Genomic DNA, 22296 nt, shown 5'->3' with positions numbered 1-22296 from the left:
GGCAGTGGAGAGCGCCGCGTCCTGTCCCTAGCTGGGCAGCCCCGCGCCTAGCAGCCCCGTCGGGACTGCACGCAGACACTCGGATCTCGAAGCTAGCTAAAATACGACCACCCCAGGTGATAGCTCTCTAATTTAGGGAGAAATGGAAAAAAAAAAAAAAAAAAAAAAAAAAACTTCTGTTTTGAAACCCGATTTACTGTTCTTGATGTTTGAATGCCAGGGTGTGCGTGTTTAAACTGTTGAGAAAATTCGGATGTCAAGAGTCCAAGAAAGCGTTTACTTTGCTCACTTGACTTTCACTGGTGTTTTGCCCAGAGTGTAACTTCCCTTCTCAAAAGCGATTAATTATGTTGAGGCGATTTCCTCAACTCAGCAGCAGAGGGCAGGATTCTCCTGGCTTCCAAATTGGTTCTCTGCAGCCTGTGGGCTCATAAGAGGAGCTGACATAAGTAATTTGGGGAAGTTTTTTGTTACAATTGTGTGTGACCTTGTTTGAGTTTAATTTGCAGACACAGTAACACACCTGTATTTCTAAGAAGATACTTTTGCTCTTGTTTAGCTGCATTCTGTTTTAGTGGAATTATGCAGGAATGGGAGATTTGGTTTACTGCATAGTAAGTCTTAGGCATTTAGCAACTTTTGTAGTCTTTACTGGATGAACCCAGATAATGTAGTTTCTCTTGAGCATAGAATTTAATTGTGCAGTCAAGACATAAATTATTTTTAAAATATAATTGATTACTAAAAACGATTTAGTAAGTACAGTTAATTGAGTTTTCCTTGGAAGTGTCTACTGTTTGGCGTTTTTCCAGTAAATAAGAATTTTAGAAGCAGCAGACCTGCAAAGTGGGCAGGTAAAAGATTAAGTTCAGAGTAAATAAGGCAGGGTCAGGTAGTTACCAAAGGTTTAGGCTGCCACCAGAATCTAGGAGGATAGAGAATTAAGCAGGAAAAATGCCAGATCTCTAGGGTACAGTCTGTCTTGGCTGGAAGTCCCTCAACCAAGTAAATCCATAGGCGGTCTCTCTACAGTGTGTCATCTTGAACTAGTCAATACCTCAGACAAAAGATGCATATTATCAGAATTACCCTGGAAAGTCTCTTAGAAGAACACCATGTTGGAGATCAGTGTATTGTCTCAGTAAGTTCAGCACAACCTGCCTTTTTTCCAGCGTTGAAACAGATGGCTGATTCTGTTTGAAAACCAGGTGAAGAAATTGGCTTGTGTTGAGGGGCTATATTGTATGAAAAATACATACTGTATCTTTAAACACTATAATCACACTCAACATAGCAAAGTGCTAGTGCTAAGAGAGACTTAAAGACTAACTGAGGGAAAAGCAGATTTATAGTCTCTCGTCTTAAATTACTTAACACTGTTGCTCACATAAATTAATGGAGTGGAATGGCCAGTGGAATTACTTGCACTATGTAAATTATTTCTCCATATAGTTGAACTAGAGAGTCCGTATAGTTGAGCTAGAAATAAGTGTAGATAATGCTACTGTATAAAGTAAAAGGTGTAAAGTAAAAGGTGGCTAGAAGTTAATATTAATTGGCCCCTTGTCAGATGTTCTGAGATTGGTATCCACCTGTTCCGCTTCACAAAACAGTTCTAAGATCACAAGCGGCTTTTGTATCACTAACCCCAATGGTATTTTTCTGTTCTCATCTTCCTTGAACTTCAGTGCTTTGACACCATTGACGACTCCCTCCTTAATTTGCCAACACCACATTCTTCAGGTTTCCTATTACCTCTTGAGCTGCTCTTTCTCTTTCACCTTGATAGAGTCATCTTCTTTATCAAATCTTTAATTATTTTAGTTATTCAGTATATAATCCTCATCTCTCATGTTCTTCTACTGTATTCTCTACCTAGGTGATCTCATCTACTTATTTGGCTTTGCCTTTATTATCTGTTTATTATTAACTACCAAATATATAGCTCAAGTTCAAATTCCAAACTTGATCTTCAGACTCAAGTAGCCAACTTTTAAATCTATTTGCATGACTCACTGCTGCCTGGAACTCAGTGTTTTCCATACTGAACTCATAACCTTTCCAGAAAACTGCCAGGTCCTCCTTCAGTTGTTCATATCTTGATAAACAAAGCCATCAAAGGAAATGCCTAAATACCCTTCCTGACATTTATTTGCTTCCTACTGCATATCCAAGCCATTATGAAGATCTGTTCATGTCCCCTGCTGTCACTCAGTCCAAGCCAGCACAACTCTTGCTTAGGCTACTGTAATAGCCTCCTAATTGGCTTCTGTACGACTACCTCTGTCTCTCTTCAATCCAATCTTCCCTTTGTAGCCTGAGTGGTATTTTAGGAATTAAAACTGGAAGGCCTTGTGTATTCTGGCCTCCATCAGTCTTATCAGGCTCCTCTCAAACCTCTCCCACTCCAGCCATGCTGGCCTTCTAGTGTCTCAGATGAGGTTTGTGATTCCCTGTCTCAGGGCCTTCACGCATGCTTTCCTCTTTCTTCCACTCATTCCTCCCTTCTTTACCCAGCTAATCTCATTCATCCTTTAGAGCACAGTTTAAATACCATTTCCTCATGGAAGTCTTCCCTGACCCATCAGACTGTATTAGGGACACTCCATACTTTTCATGGTCCTTATCTCAATGATAATGAAATGATTTTTTTGTGCAAGAAGCTTAGTGTCTTTCCACACCTTCATACCCCACTATAACATCAGTTCAGTGAAAGCATATTCATGGCTATATCCCCAGCACCTAGCACAGAGCCTTGTACACAGTTCAGGTAGAACAGTAAACAGTTGCTGAATGAATGAGCATTCTGTACATTTTCTCTTAATTTTCACTATTATGACTCCAGAACTGCTGGATAACTACAGTTTTAGCTGGTCTTCCTTCCTCATCTGATCAGCCCATGGAAGCCAAATGAATTTCACTAAAACACTGCTAGACCTAACTGTGATGCTTAGTACATAGGTACTCAATAAGCATTTGAATCAACAAATGACAGCCAAATTGTCCAGTGTTTTTACTTTCCTCCTCTGCTCAAGAACCTTTAAAAACTGCAATTTTAACCTTTCCTATCAAAATTGTACATACTTTGTGGGCAGACAGTGTGGCTGATAATAGAAAAAGGTAGTCAAGTGGAATAGAATTAAAACTCTGGACTCTGGTTACCTCGATTAGAATCCTGGTGCCATTTACTAGCCATATGACTTTGGACAAGACAGTTCTAAGCTTCAGATTCCTGATACAACCCAATGAAGGTTGTGTAGTACCTACCTCATTGGATTTTATAAGGGCTCAGTGAAATTTAAGTGAAAAAACGTATATGAAAAGCACTTAACAAGTTCTAGCACGTGGAAAACATACCATGTTAGCCATTATGTTTATCACTTCTGCTTTCCTCATAACATCTAGATAACACTGTGCTCATAGTAGGTGTTCAGAAAATATCTAATGATTTTATAAGAGTGACAGCAAATAGAGACCAGTTAATAGCTATCTTAATATTGACATGAAATACCTATAACAAGGAATTTGATTCTACTAATTTTCCATCAATTAAAAATTTTTTTCTCCATTCATGTAGCAAACAGTTATTGTGTGCCTACTATGTGCCAGGCACTTTGCTCTAGTGAATAAATCGTTCATAGACCTATACAGATTCATCCATACTCTTCCCTTGAGCCCTTCATTAGCATAATTTGCATTTGCAAAATGACCTCCTGAGATAGGGATATTATTATCTGTGGCCAAGAAGAACAAAGTCAACTAGCCCATGTAGAGATGATACTATCCAATCATCTATTATAACTATTTACAGACATCACTGATAGAGTAACTGTTTGCTAAGGGAGAAACTGATAACATTTTTTTCAATTTCAAAACTGATAACAGTTTTTTCAAATGTATAGCTGAAGTTTTATTTTTGCCACATAATGATTCTAAGCACTTAACCTAAGCAATCCCCTTCTGCTAGAGAGGCAGTGTTTTGAATGGAGAAGTCACTGGACCTTGTATCTGAACATCTAGTGCTTCCTAGCACTGCCTCTTGCTGGTTATATGACCTGGAGCAAATCACTTAGCCTTTCTGAAGATAAGTTTTCTATAAAATAAATAATTAATAAAGTAATAATACCTCCCTAGAGTTGATATGAGGATCAAAAGAAATAGTAAATATGAAAGCCCCAAATGGTTTAAATTGCTATGTCAATGTCATATGTTATCAGTGTGACTTTTTTTTTCCCTCAAAGCTTGGTGCAAACTCATGTTTTAGGTTTTATAGTATCTAGACACCCCTCCTTTGTTCTGAATAGATTGTATTAATTCCAGAACTTTTTTCTGTTTTCTTTCTTTTGAGAGCCCTTCTTTTATCAATTCCAATTTTGTTAAACCAAGACAGGACCATTAAGAGACCTAAAACTGGAGCCCCAGAAACATGTTCTCCACTACCACAGTCGTATGGTCACTCACACTTTCACCTGCAAACAACCAGCACAGGCATTCTAAAAGATCTGTTTTCTTTGCTACTAGATTTTATCAAATTCATGTATCAACCCTGTTAATTTTGTCATGACTTTTGATCAGTGTGATGTGATCTGGTCATTAAATTACAGAAATTTATATTCATTTTTAGATTAGGAGATATTTCAAAACAGAGTTTCTTGGGAGGACGGGAAGGCAAGGATTAAGAAATAATTTTAAAAGTGGTGGGGCCTTGATGGATTGAAAAAATTTGAGCCTTACCTGAAGCATGGAAGTATTCTTTTTGTGAGGACCAGAAGACCCACAAAAATAGTCCCAGTGACTCTACGTTAGGGGCAGTGAGAATTTGTGGTAAATAACTGCAAATGCATGGAGGCAGCCAAAATCTAGGATGGGTGGGCTAGAGAGTATTATTGGAGGTATCATAGTATTATAGTCTTGTGTATTTTAATTTAGCATAACTAAATATGCACAATGCTAAGTGCAGTACAATGTATTATGGATATAGAAATAAATCCATAAATTCCTTGAACCAAACAGACAAGCTTTCTGCCCTGAAGGGACTCAAATTTGTACGGTGGTGTTGGTTGTGGAAATAGGCAATAAAAAAATAAATATGTAAATACATAATATATTACATGGTAATAATTGCTATGGAAAAAAAGCAAGATAAGATGGCTAGGAATAGCATCAGAACTCACTCTGACCCGAGTCAAACTCATCTCAAATTTGCTCCCTCCAGGGTTTACCTTCTTGATTAATGGCACACCAATCCTCCCACCTAGAAACCTCAGAGTCGCCAACTGTTTCCCTCCTTCCACATCTCGTTGTTTAACAAATATCCTGGTGGTTGGTTGATTGTACCTTCTAAATGTTCTTAAAGCCATCTCTTCCTTACATTTCCACTACCAACAGAACCCTATAATAAATGCCCTCTTGGTCCAGTGTAACCATCTGGTCTCCTGTCTCCGGATAGGACAGTTCAACACTGTGTTTCTGAAGGACATCTACTGTGCTACAGAACATAGGGTGCAGATAGAAGCCAATGGGCTATGAGGCCATTACCCTCCTCCCTTATGAGAGGCCAGTTTGTTTTTGTTGGCTCTGGGTCTCAGGGAGTAGGGTTAGGGAAACAAACCAATAAAAAATAACCATCCAGTTACTCACTGTTTAATTTTAATGCTTTGCAAAATGCTTTCTATGGTATGTTACTTTTATTGTTTATTTCCAGTCATATGCAGTTCCCCTTCTCACCAACAGTTGAATGTAAGCAGGGTTGTTGTGTCCTGCTTACTGCAAGAAACAAATTTGTAGCACATATTAGGTAATCCATAAACAGTTATTGATCAATTAATGAATAACTCAGACTTTTCATCAAGGCTAATCTGTCAGCCAGCCTGAATTATTGAGGTGTTACTGTGAAACAGTATGAGTGAAGAAGTTTGTGAATTGGATCTTGAGCTGGGCATGGTGGCTCAACGCCTGTAATCCCAGCACTTTGGGAGGCTGAGGTGGGAGGATTGCTTGACCCCAGGAGTTAAGAGACCAGCCTGGGCAATATGACGAAACACCATCTCTACAAAAAATACAAAAATGAGCCGGGCATGGTGGCACATACCTGTAGTCCCAGCTACTCAGGAAGTAGATGTGGGAGAATCGCTTGTGCCCAGGAGGTCAAGGCTGCAATGAGCTGAGATCGCAACACTGCACTCCAGCCTGGGTGACAGAGCAAGACCCTGTCTCAAAAAAAAAAGAATTGGATCTTGAGGAACATGTCACCCCCATGTCTTTAGTTCAGCAAAACTTCACAGAGAAAGGCCACCTCATAAAATCGTGAGGAAGGGCAAACAAAATATAAGGAAGATTCAGAACCACAAGCAAAAAATACAGCTAATGGGGTTGTCTAAGTAAAGAAAGAAAATAGCTCAGATGTTTTTCCCATGCTTCACTAAAGCCTTCATTTTCATGTGTCAGGGTGCTAATATAAAACTTCAGTGATAAGTTGTATATCTAGTGCCAAAGACTAGTTTCTTTAGGGGTGCCATTGAATCAAAATCTTTCATATCTATAAAACTTTTGAAATATACTGAGATATGAGATCTCAAAGGCAGATAGATAAAAGCACATATTCTGGCATCAGAATACCTGGGTTTGAAAGCTGTTTCTGCCATTTATCTGTAGAGTAACCTGGGCAAGTTACTTCTAAATATAATGATAAAATATCTACTTTAAACAGTTGTTACGAGGAATGTAATTGGTAAAATATGTAAAGTCCTTGGAATGGTGCCATGTTTATTTTAATTGCTATGTAAATGTTCAAGATGACTGCTATTATTCCTTGTTCAGACTTATATTTAGCTCTAATTTTTCTCAGAAAACTTTCTTAGGGTGAGATTACTGTAGTTAAGCTGAAGTGATGTAGCTGGTTTTTGTGCATGTTAAAAGTAAAATAATTTTTGCAGTTTCTTTAATGTAAATTATCTGTGTGCAAAATAATGCTAATGTCAACGCAGTGTTCCAATTGTGTGATTATCTTCCATTTAATTTTCAGGAGAATCCTCATTGACACTGGAGAACCAGCAATTCCAGAATACATCAGCTGTTTAAAGCAGGCTCTAACTGAATTTAACACAGCAATCCAGGAAATTGTAGTGACTCACTGGCACCGAGATCATTCTGGAGGCATAGGAGATATTTGTAAAAGCATCAATAATGGTAAACAGAAAACATTCATTAAGCTCATTGAGGAAAGCCGTGTTTGGAGAATAATTTATTTCAGTTACAGAGCTAAGTAGTCTATAAACCATTTACTAAATACCTCAGTTTTAAATGGTACTTTTAGAAATTGATTAGACTGTTGAATACTGTGCCTAGTTTTAACAAAGGAGGAACGGAAATCCTGATTTCTGTTTCAAATCCTCAATTTTACTTTAGTGTGTGAGTTACTATTCAGACTTAATCATAACTAACAACTGTTGAGCATTTACTCTGTGCCAGGCACTGCACTAAACAATTTATGTGGATACTGTGAGGTAGGTGCTCTTATTGTTCACATTCTAACAGATTATCTCAGTCCTTCTGTAACTTTAAGGCAGTTACTAAGATATGCTGAAATTCAGGCAATATATCATTGTATTGATAATTCATTGTCCCTGAAACCTATACAGTACTGACATTTTCTATCTCTTTATTTCCTCATCCCACCATCATATACCTAGATTCATTCATTCATTCATTAAATATTCCAGTTACTGTTATATGTCAGACAGTGTTCTTGGCACAAGGGGTATAGCAGTGAACAAAACAGACTCTGTTCTCATGGAGCTTTCATTCCAGTAGGGAAGGTACTGGTAAATAAATAATAGATCAGGCTGGGTGCAGTGGCTCATGCCTGTAATCCCAGCACTTTGGGAGGTCAAGGTGTGTGGATTGCTTGAGCTCAGGAGTTCAAGACCAGCTTGGGCAACATAGCAAGACCCTGTCTCTACAAAAAAAGTACAAAAATTTCCCGGGTATGGTGGCGTGCACCTGCAGTCCCAGCTACTCGGGAGGCTAAGGTGGGCAGATGGCTTGAGCCAGGGAAGCTGAGGCTGCAGTAAGCCAATATTGTGCCACTGCACTCCAGCCTGGGCACCAGAATGAAAAAAAAAGGGAAAAAAATAGATCAGATAATCATGGGTGCTATGCAGGAAAATAAAGGTACAAGAAGAGAAAGGGAAGAGAGCGTAAAGTGGAGAAGGGCAAGGGCTGTTATATCCAGAGTGGACAGAGAGAAGGAGCAAGCTCCTGGCAGGAAGGCCTGCAGGCAAACAGCATTGCAGGAGCAAAGATGGTGGAATGAGAGTGTGGTTGGCACATTCAGGGCACAGTAAGGAGGTCAAGAACATTCATGCTTATTTACATTGAGCTAGTATTTTTAAACATTTGTAAAGATCTGCTTTTTTAGGCCTTGTGACTACAATTGGGACATCTCAGCTACCACACCCAATATCACCAGGCTGCCAGTTATAAAAAACTGGCAACCAAGCTTCCTTACCCTCTTAGCTCCTTTCTTCCAATCTAAGGGGACTGTGTACCATAGGAACTTATAATCTGTCAGTCTGACTTTTCCTTCTCTTGTCTTACCTCTTTTAATTTTGTCTTACCTCTTCTTTTAATCTACCTATTAAATCTTGTGAATTAAAAAACTATTTTATGCCAGGGACGGTGGTGTGTGCTTATAATCCCATCCACTCAGGAGACTGAGGCAGGACGATAGTTTGAGCCCAGCAGTTCAAGACCAGCCTGAGCTACAAAGTGAAACCCTGTTTGCGGGAAAAAAAAAGAAAAAAAAAAAGAAACTACTCTGTGATTTCTTAATTAGCTTTGTCACCTCAGCCAACTCTTCAGATTTTTCAGTTTGAAAAATTAAAATGTTTATGGCCCACTTTTTTCCTTCATAAATCAATTTTATTGAGCTTTAATTTACATACATAAAATGTGCCCATTTTAAGTGAACAGTTTAGTGAGTTTTAACAAACATCAATACCTATGTGACCATTCCAGTCAAGATATGGAACACTTCCTCCATTCCAAAAAGAGGTCCCCTCATGCTGCTTTGCAGTGATTTCCCCCATCCCCAGCCTCCAACAACCACTCAAATAGGATATGTGTTTTCATTTATATTTGCACATAATTTTGAAGACAGATACAAAGTTATAGTATGACATTTATTTTGTAATTTTGATATAATTGTGATTTTTTAATTGTCTACTAAAGGTCTCATAAGCAGAAATGTAATGCCTCCATTTCTTTACTGAAAGATAAAATTATACAGCTTATAAACAAAACAAACAAAAAAACCTCAATATCTCAATCTTGTTATATAATGTCAATTCCCAGAAAAGCATATCATTGTTTTCCTTCGGCCTCTTAGATACAAAATAATAGAGTTTGGGGTTGGAAGGGGAGGTGGTATTTGTTGTTGTTTCTTTTTATTTCAGTGTTTCTGTCTCCTTTATCCTCAAACTAGCAAATTTCTGTGCCTTGTCCATTTTTCTTTGAAATATCTCTTTCTCCCTTCATATTTCCAGTGCTACCGTCTTAACCCTACTATTCATTACCTTCTAGCTGGGAAATTGTAGTCATTCCCCTCCTGGGCTCTCTGATCTCCTTTTGGTCTCCCTACCCACAGCCGCCATATTGATCATCAGTTAACACTATTTCATTATCTTACTAAAGAGTGTGCAGTGATTACACGTGGTAAAGTTTAAATTCTCCTATTTTGTAAAAGGCAATTTGAGACCCTTTCTGATCTGAGCTTATCTTACCTATCCAACTTTATCTCCACTCTTCCTAGCCAGTATTTTGCAGTAGAAAGTTGGTAGCATTATGTTGTCACACATATGTCATGCTCATTCTCATTTTAATGCTTTATTTTTTTGAGACAGAGTCTCGCACTGTCGCTCGGCCTGGAATGCAATGGCGTGATCTTGGCTCACTGCAACCTCCGCCTCCTGGGCTCATTCGATTCTCCTGCCTCAGCCTCCCGAGTATCTGGGACGTTAGGTGCACACCACCACACCTGGCTAATTTTTTTGTATGTTTAGTAGAGATGGGGTTTCACTATGTTGGCCAGACTGGTCTCGAACTCCTGACCTCGTGATCCTCCCACCTTGGCCTCCCAAAGTGCTGGGATTACAGGTGTGAGCCACCACGCCTGGACTTAATGCCTTTTCTAATGCTGTTCCCCTTACCTGCAAGTCCTTCTCTGTACCTTTACCCATCCTGCTCATTCTGTAAGTCACACCTCAAGTTCTATCATATTTATAAATCCTTTCCTAACTCTCTCTGAACTCCTGCTGCCTTTATTAGCCGAATTGTCCATTTAATATTCATTAAATGGTACCAAGTATAGTTCTTTGTTTCATGTTTGTAAGTTTTAGTTTCCCAATCAGGACAGCTTTTAAGAACTTTGATATCACAGTGGTTGTATTCAGTATACCTAGTATACTGGTTAGTTAATTGGCACTCAATTGTTAATTGGTTAATTAATTTATTTTCTTTGTGTCAGTGAAGGGTGGTATAGATTTAGCTTATTTTAAAGGTTTAATATCTTAGCCACTGGTTTGGGGCTTCATTTCAGTACTTGTAGCAAGGACCTCATGCTTTCGTTATTAATTAATGTTTATCCTTTTGTTATTAATTACTGTCATGACACCTTTGCTACATGTTAGGCACCTGGATAGAGAAGAGTTTCCAGGTTCTGTATTAGTGCCTCTTCAACACTTGTCAGGATGCCGAAGCTAGCTACTTTTAAATTTTTTGTATAAACTAGGACTGACTCAAAAAATAGAGGCTTTCATGTAGACCTAGAGGGGCATGAAAGAATGAAGAGCTGTTTGGTTGAAAGATATGAAATATTTACATCCCAGAGATAACCTGCTGTAATTCATCCCATTTTCTGTTGTCTCTTAATGTTAATATTTTATGCAGTCATTCACAAGTGTTAGCTCTATGAAAGTTGATCTCTTAAAAGGCTTAATTATAAAGTGTGAATTAATATATTTTATATGTTTTATGACTAGACACTACCTATTGCATTAAAAAACTCCCACGGAATCCTCAGAGAGAAGAAATTATAGGAAATGGAGAGCAACAATATGTTTATCTGAAAGATGGAGATGTGATTAAGACTGAGGGAGCCACTCTAAGGTAAGTAAATGTCCCTTAGCCAGGGAAGGTGAAGAGTCTGTGTATGTGTGTTATAGAAAAGGATGGAAGGATCCCAGCATTTTGGGAGGCTGAGATGGGAAGATCGTTTGAGCCCAGGAGTTCAAGACCAGCCTGGGCAATACCAAAAAAAAATTTAATTAGCTGAGCATGGTGGCACATGCCTATAATCCTGCTATTCAGGAGGCTGAGATGAGATGATTGCTTGAACCTGGGAAGCAGAGGCTGCAGTGAGTCAAGATTGTACCACTGCATTCCAGCCTGTGCAACCGAGTGAAACCCTGTCTCAAAAAAAAAAAAAAAAAAAAATAGAAGATCTGTGCATATGTGCTGGTATGTGTAAAGAGTACATCAGGAAGGATACAAAAGAAATCCAATAAACATTGCTTACTCTGGGAGGAGAAAATGAGTTGCTTGAGAAATGAGAAAAGAAAGACTTCACTCTTTATTAAATTGTTTATTTGAATCATATGATTACCATTGTTTTAAAAAATAAAATTTACACTTTAAAAAATAAGTGTTGTCTCCCAAGGAGGCTTAGGGATCTACCTATCAATTCAATTCAGGGCTTTCCCATATTCTCACTTCCCAAAGATGACCCATACCTAAATTAAATAAGTTTTAGGCCTGACCGATCATACCTCATGACCTATCTGAGGGTTTCAAAATGGTATTTCAAACTCAGTTATTGTAAAACTGAACTCCTCTCTCCCCCACAATCTGCACCTGTTTTCTGATCTCAGAACATCCACTTTTCTCAGTATGTAAGACTTTACTCATTCTTCTAAGACAGAGGCTTCAGGATTACCTTGCACTGCTCTTCACCTTTACCATCCCCCTCCCCTTGCCCACCACACTAATCAGGTTAGTTTTTACATCAAAAATATTTGTCAGCTGACACAAACAAATGGAAACACATCCCAAGTTCATCTCTGGGTAGGATCAGTATTGTGAAAATGACCATACTGGCAAAAGCAATCTACAAATTCAACACAATCCCCATCAAAATACCACCATCATTCTTCACAGAATTAGAAAAAACAATTCTAAAATTCATATGGAACCAAAAAGAGCCCACATAGCCAAAGCAAGACTAAGCAAAAAGAACAAATCTGGAGGCATCACACTACCTGATTTTAAACTATACTGTAAGGCCATAGTCACCAAAACAGCATGGTACCAATATAAAATAGTCACATACACCAATGGAACAGAACAGAGAACCCAGAAATAAACCTAAATACTTACAGCTAACTGATCTTTGACAAAGCAAACAAAACCATAAAGTGGGGAAAGGACATCCTTTTCAATAAATGGTGGCGGGATAATTGGCTAGCCACATACAGAGAATGAAACTGGATCCTCATCTCTCACCTTATACAAAAATCAACTCAAGATGGATTAAGGACTTAAACCTAAGACCTGAAACTATAAAAATTACAGAAGATAACATTGGCAAAACCCGTCTAGACTTTGGCTTAGGCAAGATTTCATGACCAAGAACCCGAAAGCAAATGTATTAAAAACAAAGATAAACAGTTGGGACTTAATTAAACTAAAGAGCTTTTGCATGGCAAAAGGAACAAACAGCAGAGTAAACAGAAAACCCACAGAGTGGGAGAAAATCTTCATAATCTATACATCTGACAAAGGACTAATATCCAGAATCTACAATGAACACAAATCTGTAAGAAAAAAACAAGCCCATCAAAAAGTAGGCTAAGGACACAGTTCTCAAAAGAAGATATGCAAATGGCCAACAAACATGAAAAAATACTCAACATCACTAATGATCAGGGAAATACAAATCAAAACCGCAATGCAATACCACCTTACTCCTGCAAGAATGGCCATAATCAAAAAATCAAAAAACAGTAAATGTTGGTGTGGATGCGGTGAACAGGGGACACTTTCTACACTGCTGGTGGGAATGTAAATTAGTACAACCACTATGGAAAACAGTGTGGAGATTCCTTAAAGAACTAAAAGTAGAACTACCATTTGATCCAGCAATCCAGCTACTGGGTGTCTACCCAGAGGAAAAGAAGTCATTATACAAAAAAGATATTTGCATACACATGTTCATAGCAGCACAGTTTGCAATTGCAAAATCATGGAACCAACTCAAATGCCCATCCATCAACGAGTGGATAAAGAAACTGTGGTATATATATATGATGGAATACTACTCAGCCATAAAAAGGAATGAATTACGGGGCCAGGCATGGTGGCTCACACCTGTAATCCCAGCACTTTGGGAGGCCAAGGCAGGTGGATCACCTGAGGTCAGGAGTTTGAGACCAGCCTGGCCAACATGATGAAACCCTGTCTCTACTAAAAAAATACAAAAATTAGCCGGGCATGGTGGTGCATGCCTGTAATCCCAGCTACTTGGGAGGCTGAGGTAGGAGAATTGCTTGAATCTGGGAGGCAGAGGTTGCAGTGAGCCGAAATTGTGCCACTGCACTCCAGCCTGGGCAACAAGAGTGAAACTCCCTCTCAAAAAAAAAAAAAAAATAGGAATTAATTAACGGCATTTGTAGTGACCTGGTTGAGATTGGAGACTATTATTCTAAATGAAGTAACTCAGGAATGGAAAACCAAACATTGTTTGTTCTCACTGATATGTGGAACCTAAGCTATGAGGATGCAAAGGCATAAGAACAATACAATGGACTTTGGGGACTTGGGGGGAAGGGTGGGAGGGAGATGAGGGATAAAAGACTACAAATAGGGTACAGTGTATATTGCTCGGGCGACGAGTGCACCAAAATCTCACAGATCACCACTAAAGGACTTATGTAACCAGATACCACCTGTACCCCAATAACTTATGGAAAAAATATATTTGTCAGCTGAGCACAGTGGCACATGCCTGTAGTCCCAGCCACACAAGAGGCTGAGGCAGGAGGATCACTTAAGTCCAGGAGTTCTTGGCTGTAGTGTACTATGCCAATTGCATGTCCATGTTAAATTCAGCGTCAGTATGGTGACCGCTCAGACCTTAGGAGCTGGGGACCACCAGGTTGCCTAAGGAGAGGTGAACTGGCCCAGATCGGAAACAGAGCAGGTCAGAACTCCCATGCTGATCAGTACTGGGATGGAGCCTGTAAATAGCCACTGTACTCCAGCCTGGGCCACAAAGTAGAAACCCATCTCTAAAAAAAAAATAGGTAAATACACACAGACACACACACACATATTTGTCAGTGCTATCCCTTCTTCACATCCACTACCAGTACTTCCTCCTTTATCTTACTGTCTCCAGCTCTCCCCTTTAGCCTACCATCCTTCATTGTGCTACTTGAAATCTTTAATGACTCTCGCTGCATACAAGATAATGTTTATTCTCTTTACCATACCACAGTCTGACCCCAGGCCACTTTTCTGGTCTTAGTTCCCACTCCCCTCACAAAAACACTTAGCCATATACAAATATTCCTGGGCATATTATGCCTGTTTATGTTTTTGTTTATATCACCCCTTTCCACTACTTGTCTCCCTGGTAAATTCTTATCTATTTATTCTTCAAAGCCCAGTTCACATGTTACTTATATCAAGAACGCTTTCTGGGCAAAATTAACTGCTCTTCTCCAGCTTTTGTATAAATTTTATTCTATAATAGCACTTACTAAGTTGTATTGTGGTTTTGTGGAGGGGGGTAAGTGTCTCCTTAAAAAGCAGTCAGCTCCTTAAGTTCACAATATTAGTTAATGCCAGTTGCCATAGCAAAACAACTCAGAAATGTTTAACGGCTCAAATAGGAAATAAATTTATTTCTTGGTCCCATACAGTCCCAAAAAGGTTCCCAGTTAGCCAGTGGCCCTCTGCAAGTAATGATGTATGCTCCTTCCATCTTGTGACTCTACCCTCCTGAAGGCTTTTTTTTTCAAGGTTGCATGCTCAGCTCGATCAATCCAGCAGGTAGAAAAGAGCATGGAAGGGATATTGCATGGGAGGTTTTCATGGACCAAGTCTTCTGTTGCATTGGCTGTCAATTCAGTCATAAGTCACCCCTCACTGTAGGGTGTCTGGGAAATTAACTGTATGCCCAGCAAAATAGAGGAAATGGGTTTAGTAACTAGATAGCCATTCTCTGATATAGGCAGATACCAGATTCATCCTCACATCCTCACCTCTAGCACACAGAAGGCACTGAATATTTATCTTACATATAGTTAATATCTTTAAAGAGGCAAATAGACAAACAGATGAGTAAGAGAAAATGAAGTAGTAGATGTCCATGTCCTCTTTTAAATTGGTGCCCCCTTTTTTCTACTGTGCTGTGATTTTCAAAATGTAGTTTCTAGGCAGTTTCCTTATAATGCTTTTGTTGAAAATATAGCCAGGTGCGGTGGCTCACACCTGTAATCCCAGTACTTTGGGAGGCCAAGGCAGGCGGTTTGAGACTAGCCTGGGTAACATGGTGAAACCCCATCTCTACCAAAAATACAAAAAAAATAGCCAGGCATGGTGGTGTGTGCCTATGGTCCCAGCTACTTGGGAGGCTGAGGTGAGAGGATTGTTTGAGCCTGTGAGGGCAGAGGTTGCAGTGAACTGGGATAGTGCCACTACACTCCAGCCTGGTGACAGAGCAAGACTCTGCAAGAAAATAGTAAGAAAGAGCAAGAAAATATAATAGCATGTTATATAATTCGCCCATGACACCAAAGGAAAACAAATGTTATATTACTACTTGCTCAAAAAGTATTCTTCACAATACTGAAATTTCCTCCATAGCACACCAGCCCTAGACCAAGTTAATGAAAGGGGTAGAGATGGTTTATTGAATCTTCTGTCTCGAAGATTTGGGAATCACAGTACTGGTTTATCACATAGAATCATGGGTAATCATTAGAGCTATACCTAATTTACCAGATTAAAGATATGCAGCTGTTGGATGTTAACTGCCATCCAGGTGGAACAGGTCATTTTTTTAAAACTTCTTATCAAAGTATAATATATAAACAGGAAAGATCACATACCATAAATGTACAAAGTCATGAATTTTCACAAATTGAACAAGGCCCATAAGCAGCATTCAGATGAAGAAACGGAACAGTATCAGTGTCCCAGAAATCTCCCTTGTGCTTGCTTCCCCTTCAGTTGAGTACTGTCTTGGATTCCTGGAGTGAATTGATGCCAAGGATTTCAAATATATGAATTCTATTTAATTTTTGTTTTACTGTACTCTGATGGGAATCTGTGTAAAGATTTAAGGGGAAAACTGACAAAAAGAATCAAAAACAGACACATTTTAAAAATGACTAGTAGTAAATAATCTTTTCTCAAAATATAAATTCTCATTAAGCTAAAGCCTGGATAAAACATTTAATTTCCTGATGAATGTGGTTTTCAATTTCCACTTTTATGAAGTCAGAAAAGCCCAACTGTTTTCAATATTAACATGTAATATTTTAAGCAAAACCTTTGTTAAGCTAGCTAGTGAAAAGACATTTGACAGAGTTCAACTCTATATAAATAACAGCACTTAAGAGTTTTGTTCAGTGAAAGTTGCATAAATAGAAGGTTAAAATCTGCCTCAGTCCTCATGTATTCATTGGCCAGTTGATCTTGCCTACTTGCCAACTTTGAAAAAAATAACATAAAATGCAGTAGGGACAGAGATAATATCCACCAAGAACCCTTGCAGTAAAAAGTAGAAAACTAGAAAGGTTTTTCAGTAAGAATTTGATTCTGGATGTAAACTAGCAAGCTAAGTTAAATTTCTTGAAGAAAAGTCAATCTGACAGTTTTTGATCACTGTCTTGAATTCTCTAAGAGAGTCATCCTTACAAAGTCCACTCTATCACAGAAGTAACAGAACTAGATAAATTTTCTACCTGCGAAATAGGAAGGCCACAGCTGCAGTTCCTGTGATCTTTAGCAAAGCACCTCTGATGTCATTTCCTTTTCTCCTCCTGCCTGTGTGAAGTGAATTTTAACAGTTTTATGCAAATTACAGCAGCCACCCAGGTGACTGGAGAATTGAGATTACTGATTCCCCAATTTAAGAAACCCTGCTACTTGTTTTCTGTGTTTATATCACAGAAAAACAAATTGTTTTCTGTGTTTATATCACAGAAAACAGTTACTGAGTTCTGGTGTGGTAGGGGGTCAGGGAGGGCTGATAATGAAGGAGGCATTGCAAGCAAAACAGTTTTCAGATGAAGAGTGGTTCTACAAGTGAGTTTTTGTAGATTAAAAAAAGAAAGATTGGGGTTCTGTTTGTTAATGCATTCTATGTATTCATAAGATTGTCCACAAGATATGACACATCGCCACACAAAGACACATGTTTATATAGTTGGCTGGAAATACACCCCTTGGAATTATTTTCATATAACATTGAATACTTCTATTAACAGCTTGCAGCAAGTTTAACCAGACAAAAGAGATGATTTCTAACAGCTCTTTAATACCTTGCCATTGGATCAACTATAATATAGTAATTGTTTGCAATATATGAAATATATACTTGGAAACTATAAAAGCATAATAGTTCTTAATGTCAGACATTGGCCTTTCAAAAATAATTGCTTCCATTAGTATCTCATGTCTTATACCTTATATCTATTATATTATTAGACTTTTTAAAGTCTTTACAGTTTCAATATTTAATATTAAGGATTTGGTTGGTTTTTATATTTATGGTAAAGGAGAAACTTCCCTAAGTTATAGTCATTTCAGTTCTCTTAAATACTTTAAGAGTTGAATTTTATCAAATGTCTTTTCACTGTCTAGGGAGATGAACTTACTAGTTTCCTCCATATCTTTACTATGATTTTCAGGGATCTTATAATATTGGAGCATTCTTGCATTTTTTAATAAATCTTATTTGGTCATGATCTTTCAATGTGCTTTTGGATTCTCTTTGTTAATATTTTGGTTATTATTTTTAGAATAGTAATAAAATTGGGTAGTATTTTTCTTTTTGTACCTTTGTCAGTTTGGGGCTTTATCTGTTTCTTTTTTTTTCTTTTTTTTTTTTTTTTTTTTTTTGAGATGGAGTCTCACTCTGTCGCCCAGGTTGGAGTGCAGTGGCGCAATGTTGGCTCACTGCAACTGCAACCTCCGCCTCCTGGGTTCCAGCAATTCTCTTGCCTTAGACTCCTGAGTAGCTGAGATTACAGGCATCCGCCACCACGCCCAGCTAATTTTTGTATTTTTAGTAGAGACAGGGTTTCGCCATGTTGGCCAGGCTGATCTCGAACTCCTGACCTCAGGCCTCGGCCTCCCAAAGTGCTGGGATTACAGGCATGAGCTACCGCACCTGGCCTTTTTCTGTGCTCCAGGAGAGTTTAAGTACATAGTAGTGAAATTATCTGACCTTTAAATGTTTGGTAGAATTATCCTGTGAAAATACTGAACCTTTAGTTTCTAGTGACAGTCACACATCTTTTTACTAGAGCTTCACTGTTGCTTATTAATAATGTGGTCCTGTGAGTTAAGCTTAACACAAATAACTTTATGCTTTTTCTGTATACTACTTTTTATAGATTATTTTTTAATATAAGGTTGGCCTAAACGAGTTTTGTATTCTAAATTAAACTATAATCAGATCATCTTGTAAAAAGACAGGTTTACTTAGGCTGGGCATGGTGGCTCATACCTGTAATCCCAGCTCTTTGGGAGATGAAGGTGGGAGGATCCCTTGATGCCAGGAGTTCAAGGCTGCAGTGAGCCATGATCACTCCAGTGCACTCCAGACTAGGTGACAGGGTAAGCCCTCATCTCTTAAAAATAATAATAAAATTTTTAAAAACATTTTTCAAAAGGTTTACTTATTACTGTGGCTTCTAGAATCTAAAATCCAAACTTGAAAACATTTACATATTATGGCTAGGCTCATCAAGGTCTCAAGGAAGAGAGACACACATAATTACCTTTAATGGTACAGTTTTGTTGTACAGGAACAAACAGACAAATGACACAAATGATTAGCTAACAGGTGAAAGTGGTTGCGTCTAGGGAGAAAGAAATTAAACAGTGGGGCAGTAACAGTTACAAATCTTAGCGGACTATTTGATTCTTTCCTACATCTTATTTTTCAATTTGAGATATTAACTTTCCACTAAGAAAAAATTAGAATTGGGTTTTCCTCTTCTCCCACTTTTGAGCACCATTCCTGTCCTCTAACCTCTCAATGTCATAATGCTGGTTAGATCAGCATTCGGTGATGTTGTTATGACTGTAGACACTATTTACAGCTGAACCGTGTAGTAAACTATCCTTACTTTTCCTGCTTTCCTGCAGTTAGTCATTGTTTTTGCTTTGTTATTTTGGATAGTTTTCTGTGTATTTATCACTAATTTAACTCTGAGTATATAAATCTTCCCTTAGGGTGTTTAAATGCATCATGGATTCTCTCAATTTAATCTTCTGAAAGAACCTACCCTTTAAGCCTTCCAGCTAATAACTTGCTCCTGTCGGCTTGTTTTCCTCCGGGCCTGATGCTGGTGTCATCTCAGAATTCCCTGCACTCTCACCTGGGGCTTCCCTTTGCCTCTCTCCAGTGTTGGATCTCCTTTCTCCAGTGCCCCATAAGTTTCTTAAAACCCCCTCTGTTTTAGGGGAACCCATCTCCAGTAGCTTTCTGAGAAATGGTGAATTTTTGAGACCTTAGATATCTGAAAGTATCCTTTTTTCATCTAACTTTATTTAAGGTATTTATGAGTATAGATTCTAAGTTGAAAGTATTTTTCCTTCTCAGTATTGTCTGCAAGGTTTCATTTCCTTCTGGTTTCAATATTGCAATAGAGAAATCTAAAGCCCTTCTGATTGCTGAACTTCTTTGGTCCCTGGCTTTTGCTTTTTCCCTTCTTTTCCACTGTATCCTGAAATTTCACAGTGATTCCTTCATCAAAGGAATCACTGCCTCATCAAAGGATCCTACCTCAGCATGCAAAGGTGCCATATTTTGGCAGTAGTGTGTTCTGAGTCCCATCATCGGAAAAAACTCAGAGGAGTTGACTATAGTTTTAGTCAAAGCGAGTCTTTGTCAATCCATGATAGGCTTTTTCAGTCTTGAAACATGTCCTTCAGTTCCAAAAATTTTTCTTGAGGTGCTTATTTTCTCTCATCTCTTTTGTGCTGTTTCATTTACTAAAATTCCTATTATTTTGTTAGAACTCCTGTACTACTCTAACTTTATTTTTTTCTCTCTCATTTTTCATCTTTTTGCCTTTTTACTATACTTTCTGGGAGATTTTTATTAACTTTATCGCCTAATCTTACTACATGTTTTTATTTCTGTTCTCAGATTTGTAATTTTCAGAAACTTTTTGTTCCCAAAATGTTGCTTTTATACTAACCTAATCTTGTTTCATAGTTGCAATTTCTTCTTTTTTTGCTGAGGATATTATATTCTGTGGGGTTTGGTTGTTTTGGAAATTTTCTTCATAACCCCCTTTGTTTGCTTGTTCGTTTTTATGCGCTGTCTTCAACATAACTTTCCTTAGATGCCTAGTAATCCTGTTTATCTTCTGATGTTTACTAATTGTGTTCTGATGGAAACTACAGAGCTGTTTGGGAGCTCTGAGAATGTGGGGGGGAGTCTTCCGTAGGCTTTAGGCCTCACTGTAGGATAATCTGGATGAGCTCTTCAGTTGGGAACTTTCCAACATTGGTATCGTAGAGTCTTTCTTCCTGAGATGGTAAAATAACTTAGAAAAAGACTCTTCTAATCTTCATGTAGCGTAAAGGCCTGGCTGCCAGAATTATAGAAGCTGAGTGTGGAAAGAAGGCATAGGAATCTACATATATTCTTGTAATCTTACTTTTTTTTAGTATATTGTCACTTCCTGCATCTATGCCTCTGTTTTACCCTCTTCAAAGATTAAACCTCCAGCGTTTCCCTTAGTGAGATTGGGGCACTTCTCAACTCAAAGTGGGAAGAGACTCTTGAGGATCTGAATGTTTGCTAAAAAGACTTTCAACAGACTTCTTATTTCAGCCACCTTCCTTCCACTTCACCCTCCACTTCCAGATTTCCTAAATCCTTAGACTTTGAGGAATTCTGCAGTGCAAATCTGATTGGTTCTCAGCTTTCCCTGCTGCTTATTTAGGCTTCCATTTTCTCCTGTCTGGTAAGTCACTTATCACTCATCTATATGTCATCACATTTACCTTATTCCCACAAAATATTCCATTATTGGGAAGATTTATTAAGTATATCCCAAACATGGCTGGGTACAGCGGCTCCTGCCTGTAATCCCAGCACTTTGTGAGGCCAGGGCAGGCAGATCACTTGAGGTCAGGAGTTTGAGACCACCCTGGCCAACATGGTGAAACCCCATCTCTACTAAAAATACAAAAATTAGCCAGGTGTGGTGGCGGGCACCTGTAGTCCCAGCTACTCAGGAGGCTGAGGCAGGAGAATTGCTTGAACCTGGGAGGCAGAGGTTGCAGTGAGCCAAGATTGCACCACTGCACTCCAGCCTGGGCGACAGAGCGAGACCCTGTCTCAAAAAAAAAAAAAATTATATATATAGATAGATAGAGATATATATATTCCAAGCACATAAAAACTCAATACTGACTAGAATAGCAGGTAATTATCCTCTTAAACTAAATAAAATATAATTTAAACCATATTCCTTCAGACATGTATTGCTATTTGCTGTGATTTATTTATGTAAAATGTAAAATGGAGAGGCTAATAATGCCCAACCCAAAGTAGTGTAAGGATTAAATGTAATTTGTGTAAATCCCTGAAGACACTGCCTGGTACATGGAAAGCAATCTATTACTAAAATTAACTACTACTAAGTGCCAAGTACTGAGCGTATAAAAATGAAAATGAGATGAGAGTCCTGCCCTTCTGGAACTCATAACCTTGTGAGGTAGAATAGCAAACAAAACAATGTGAAGCCTACAGAATAACACATAATTCAAAGTAGAAGAAGAATATAGAGGCAACAGTGACCAGTACAGAGAATTAAGTCTGTATATTGCTGAGAAGTCGGGGTGCTTTGCAGAACAGATTATTTGAACTCAGCTTTTTGTTTATCTGGTTTATTGTTGGCATAGTTACAAAACAATATAAATGTAAATAAGAATTTTTGAAATAAAATACCTGTCATACTTTAAAAGTATTATAATCAGTTTTGT

General features: G+C 38.3%; 1 protein-coding gene, 1 long non-coding RNA gene and 1 pseudogene across 2 annotated transcripts in view, besides 1 other annotated feature; 2 read left to right on the top strand and 1 right to left on the bottom strand.

Moving 5' to 3' along the window:
- The window catches only part of LACTB2 (lactamase beta 2), a 31920-nt gene that overhangs the window by 264 nt on the left and 9360 nt on the right, over positions 1–22296 (top strand). The window contains exons 2-3 of the mRNA NM_016027.3: positions 7025–7188; positions 11040–11166. Of these exons, the coding sequence (NP_057111.1) occupies positions 7025–7188; positions 11040–11166 (291 nt within the window). The remainder of the gene's footprint in view (positions 1–7024; positions 7189–11039; positions 11167–22296) is intronic.
- LACTB2-AS1 (LACTB2 antisense RNA 1) overlaps positions 5643–22296 on the bottom strand; it is a 54703-nt gene continuing 38049 nt past the window's right edge. Inside the window, exons 2-4 of the long non-coding RNA NR_038881.1 lie at positions 17028–17109; positions 16170–16411; positions 5643–8777 (exon numbers count right to left, since the gene is read on the bottom strand). This is a non-coding gene — a long non-coding RNA (LACTB2 antisense RNA 1). The remainder of the gene's footprint in view (positions 8778–16169; positions 16412–17027; positions 17110–22296) is intronic.
- Positions 14039–14344, top strand: RN7SL19P (RNA, 7SL, cytoplasmic 19, pseudogene; annotated as a pseudogene).
- Positions 17036–17145: an enhancer, noted in NCBI's record as "active region_27510". NCBI's record gives its function as "activates an Ori minimal core promoter by ATAC-STARR-seq in GM12878 lymphoblastoid cells {active_cell/tissue: GM12878}" and the evidence as "EXISTENCE:reporter gene assay evidence [ECO:0000049][PMID:35858748]".

The sequence above is a fragment of the Homo sapiens genome, chromosome 8 (assembly GCF_000001405.40).
Source record: "Homo sapiens chromosome 8, GRCh38.p14 Primary Assembly".
Lineage (NCBI taxonomy): Eukaryota > Metazoa > Chordata > Mammalia > Primates > Hominidae > Homo > Homo sapiens.
This window is presented reverse-complemented; position numbering and strand designations above follow the sequence as displayed.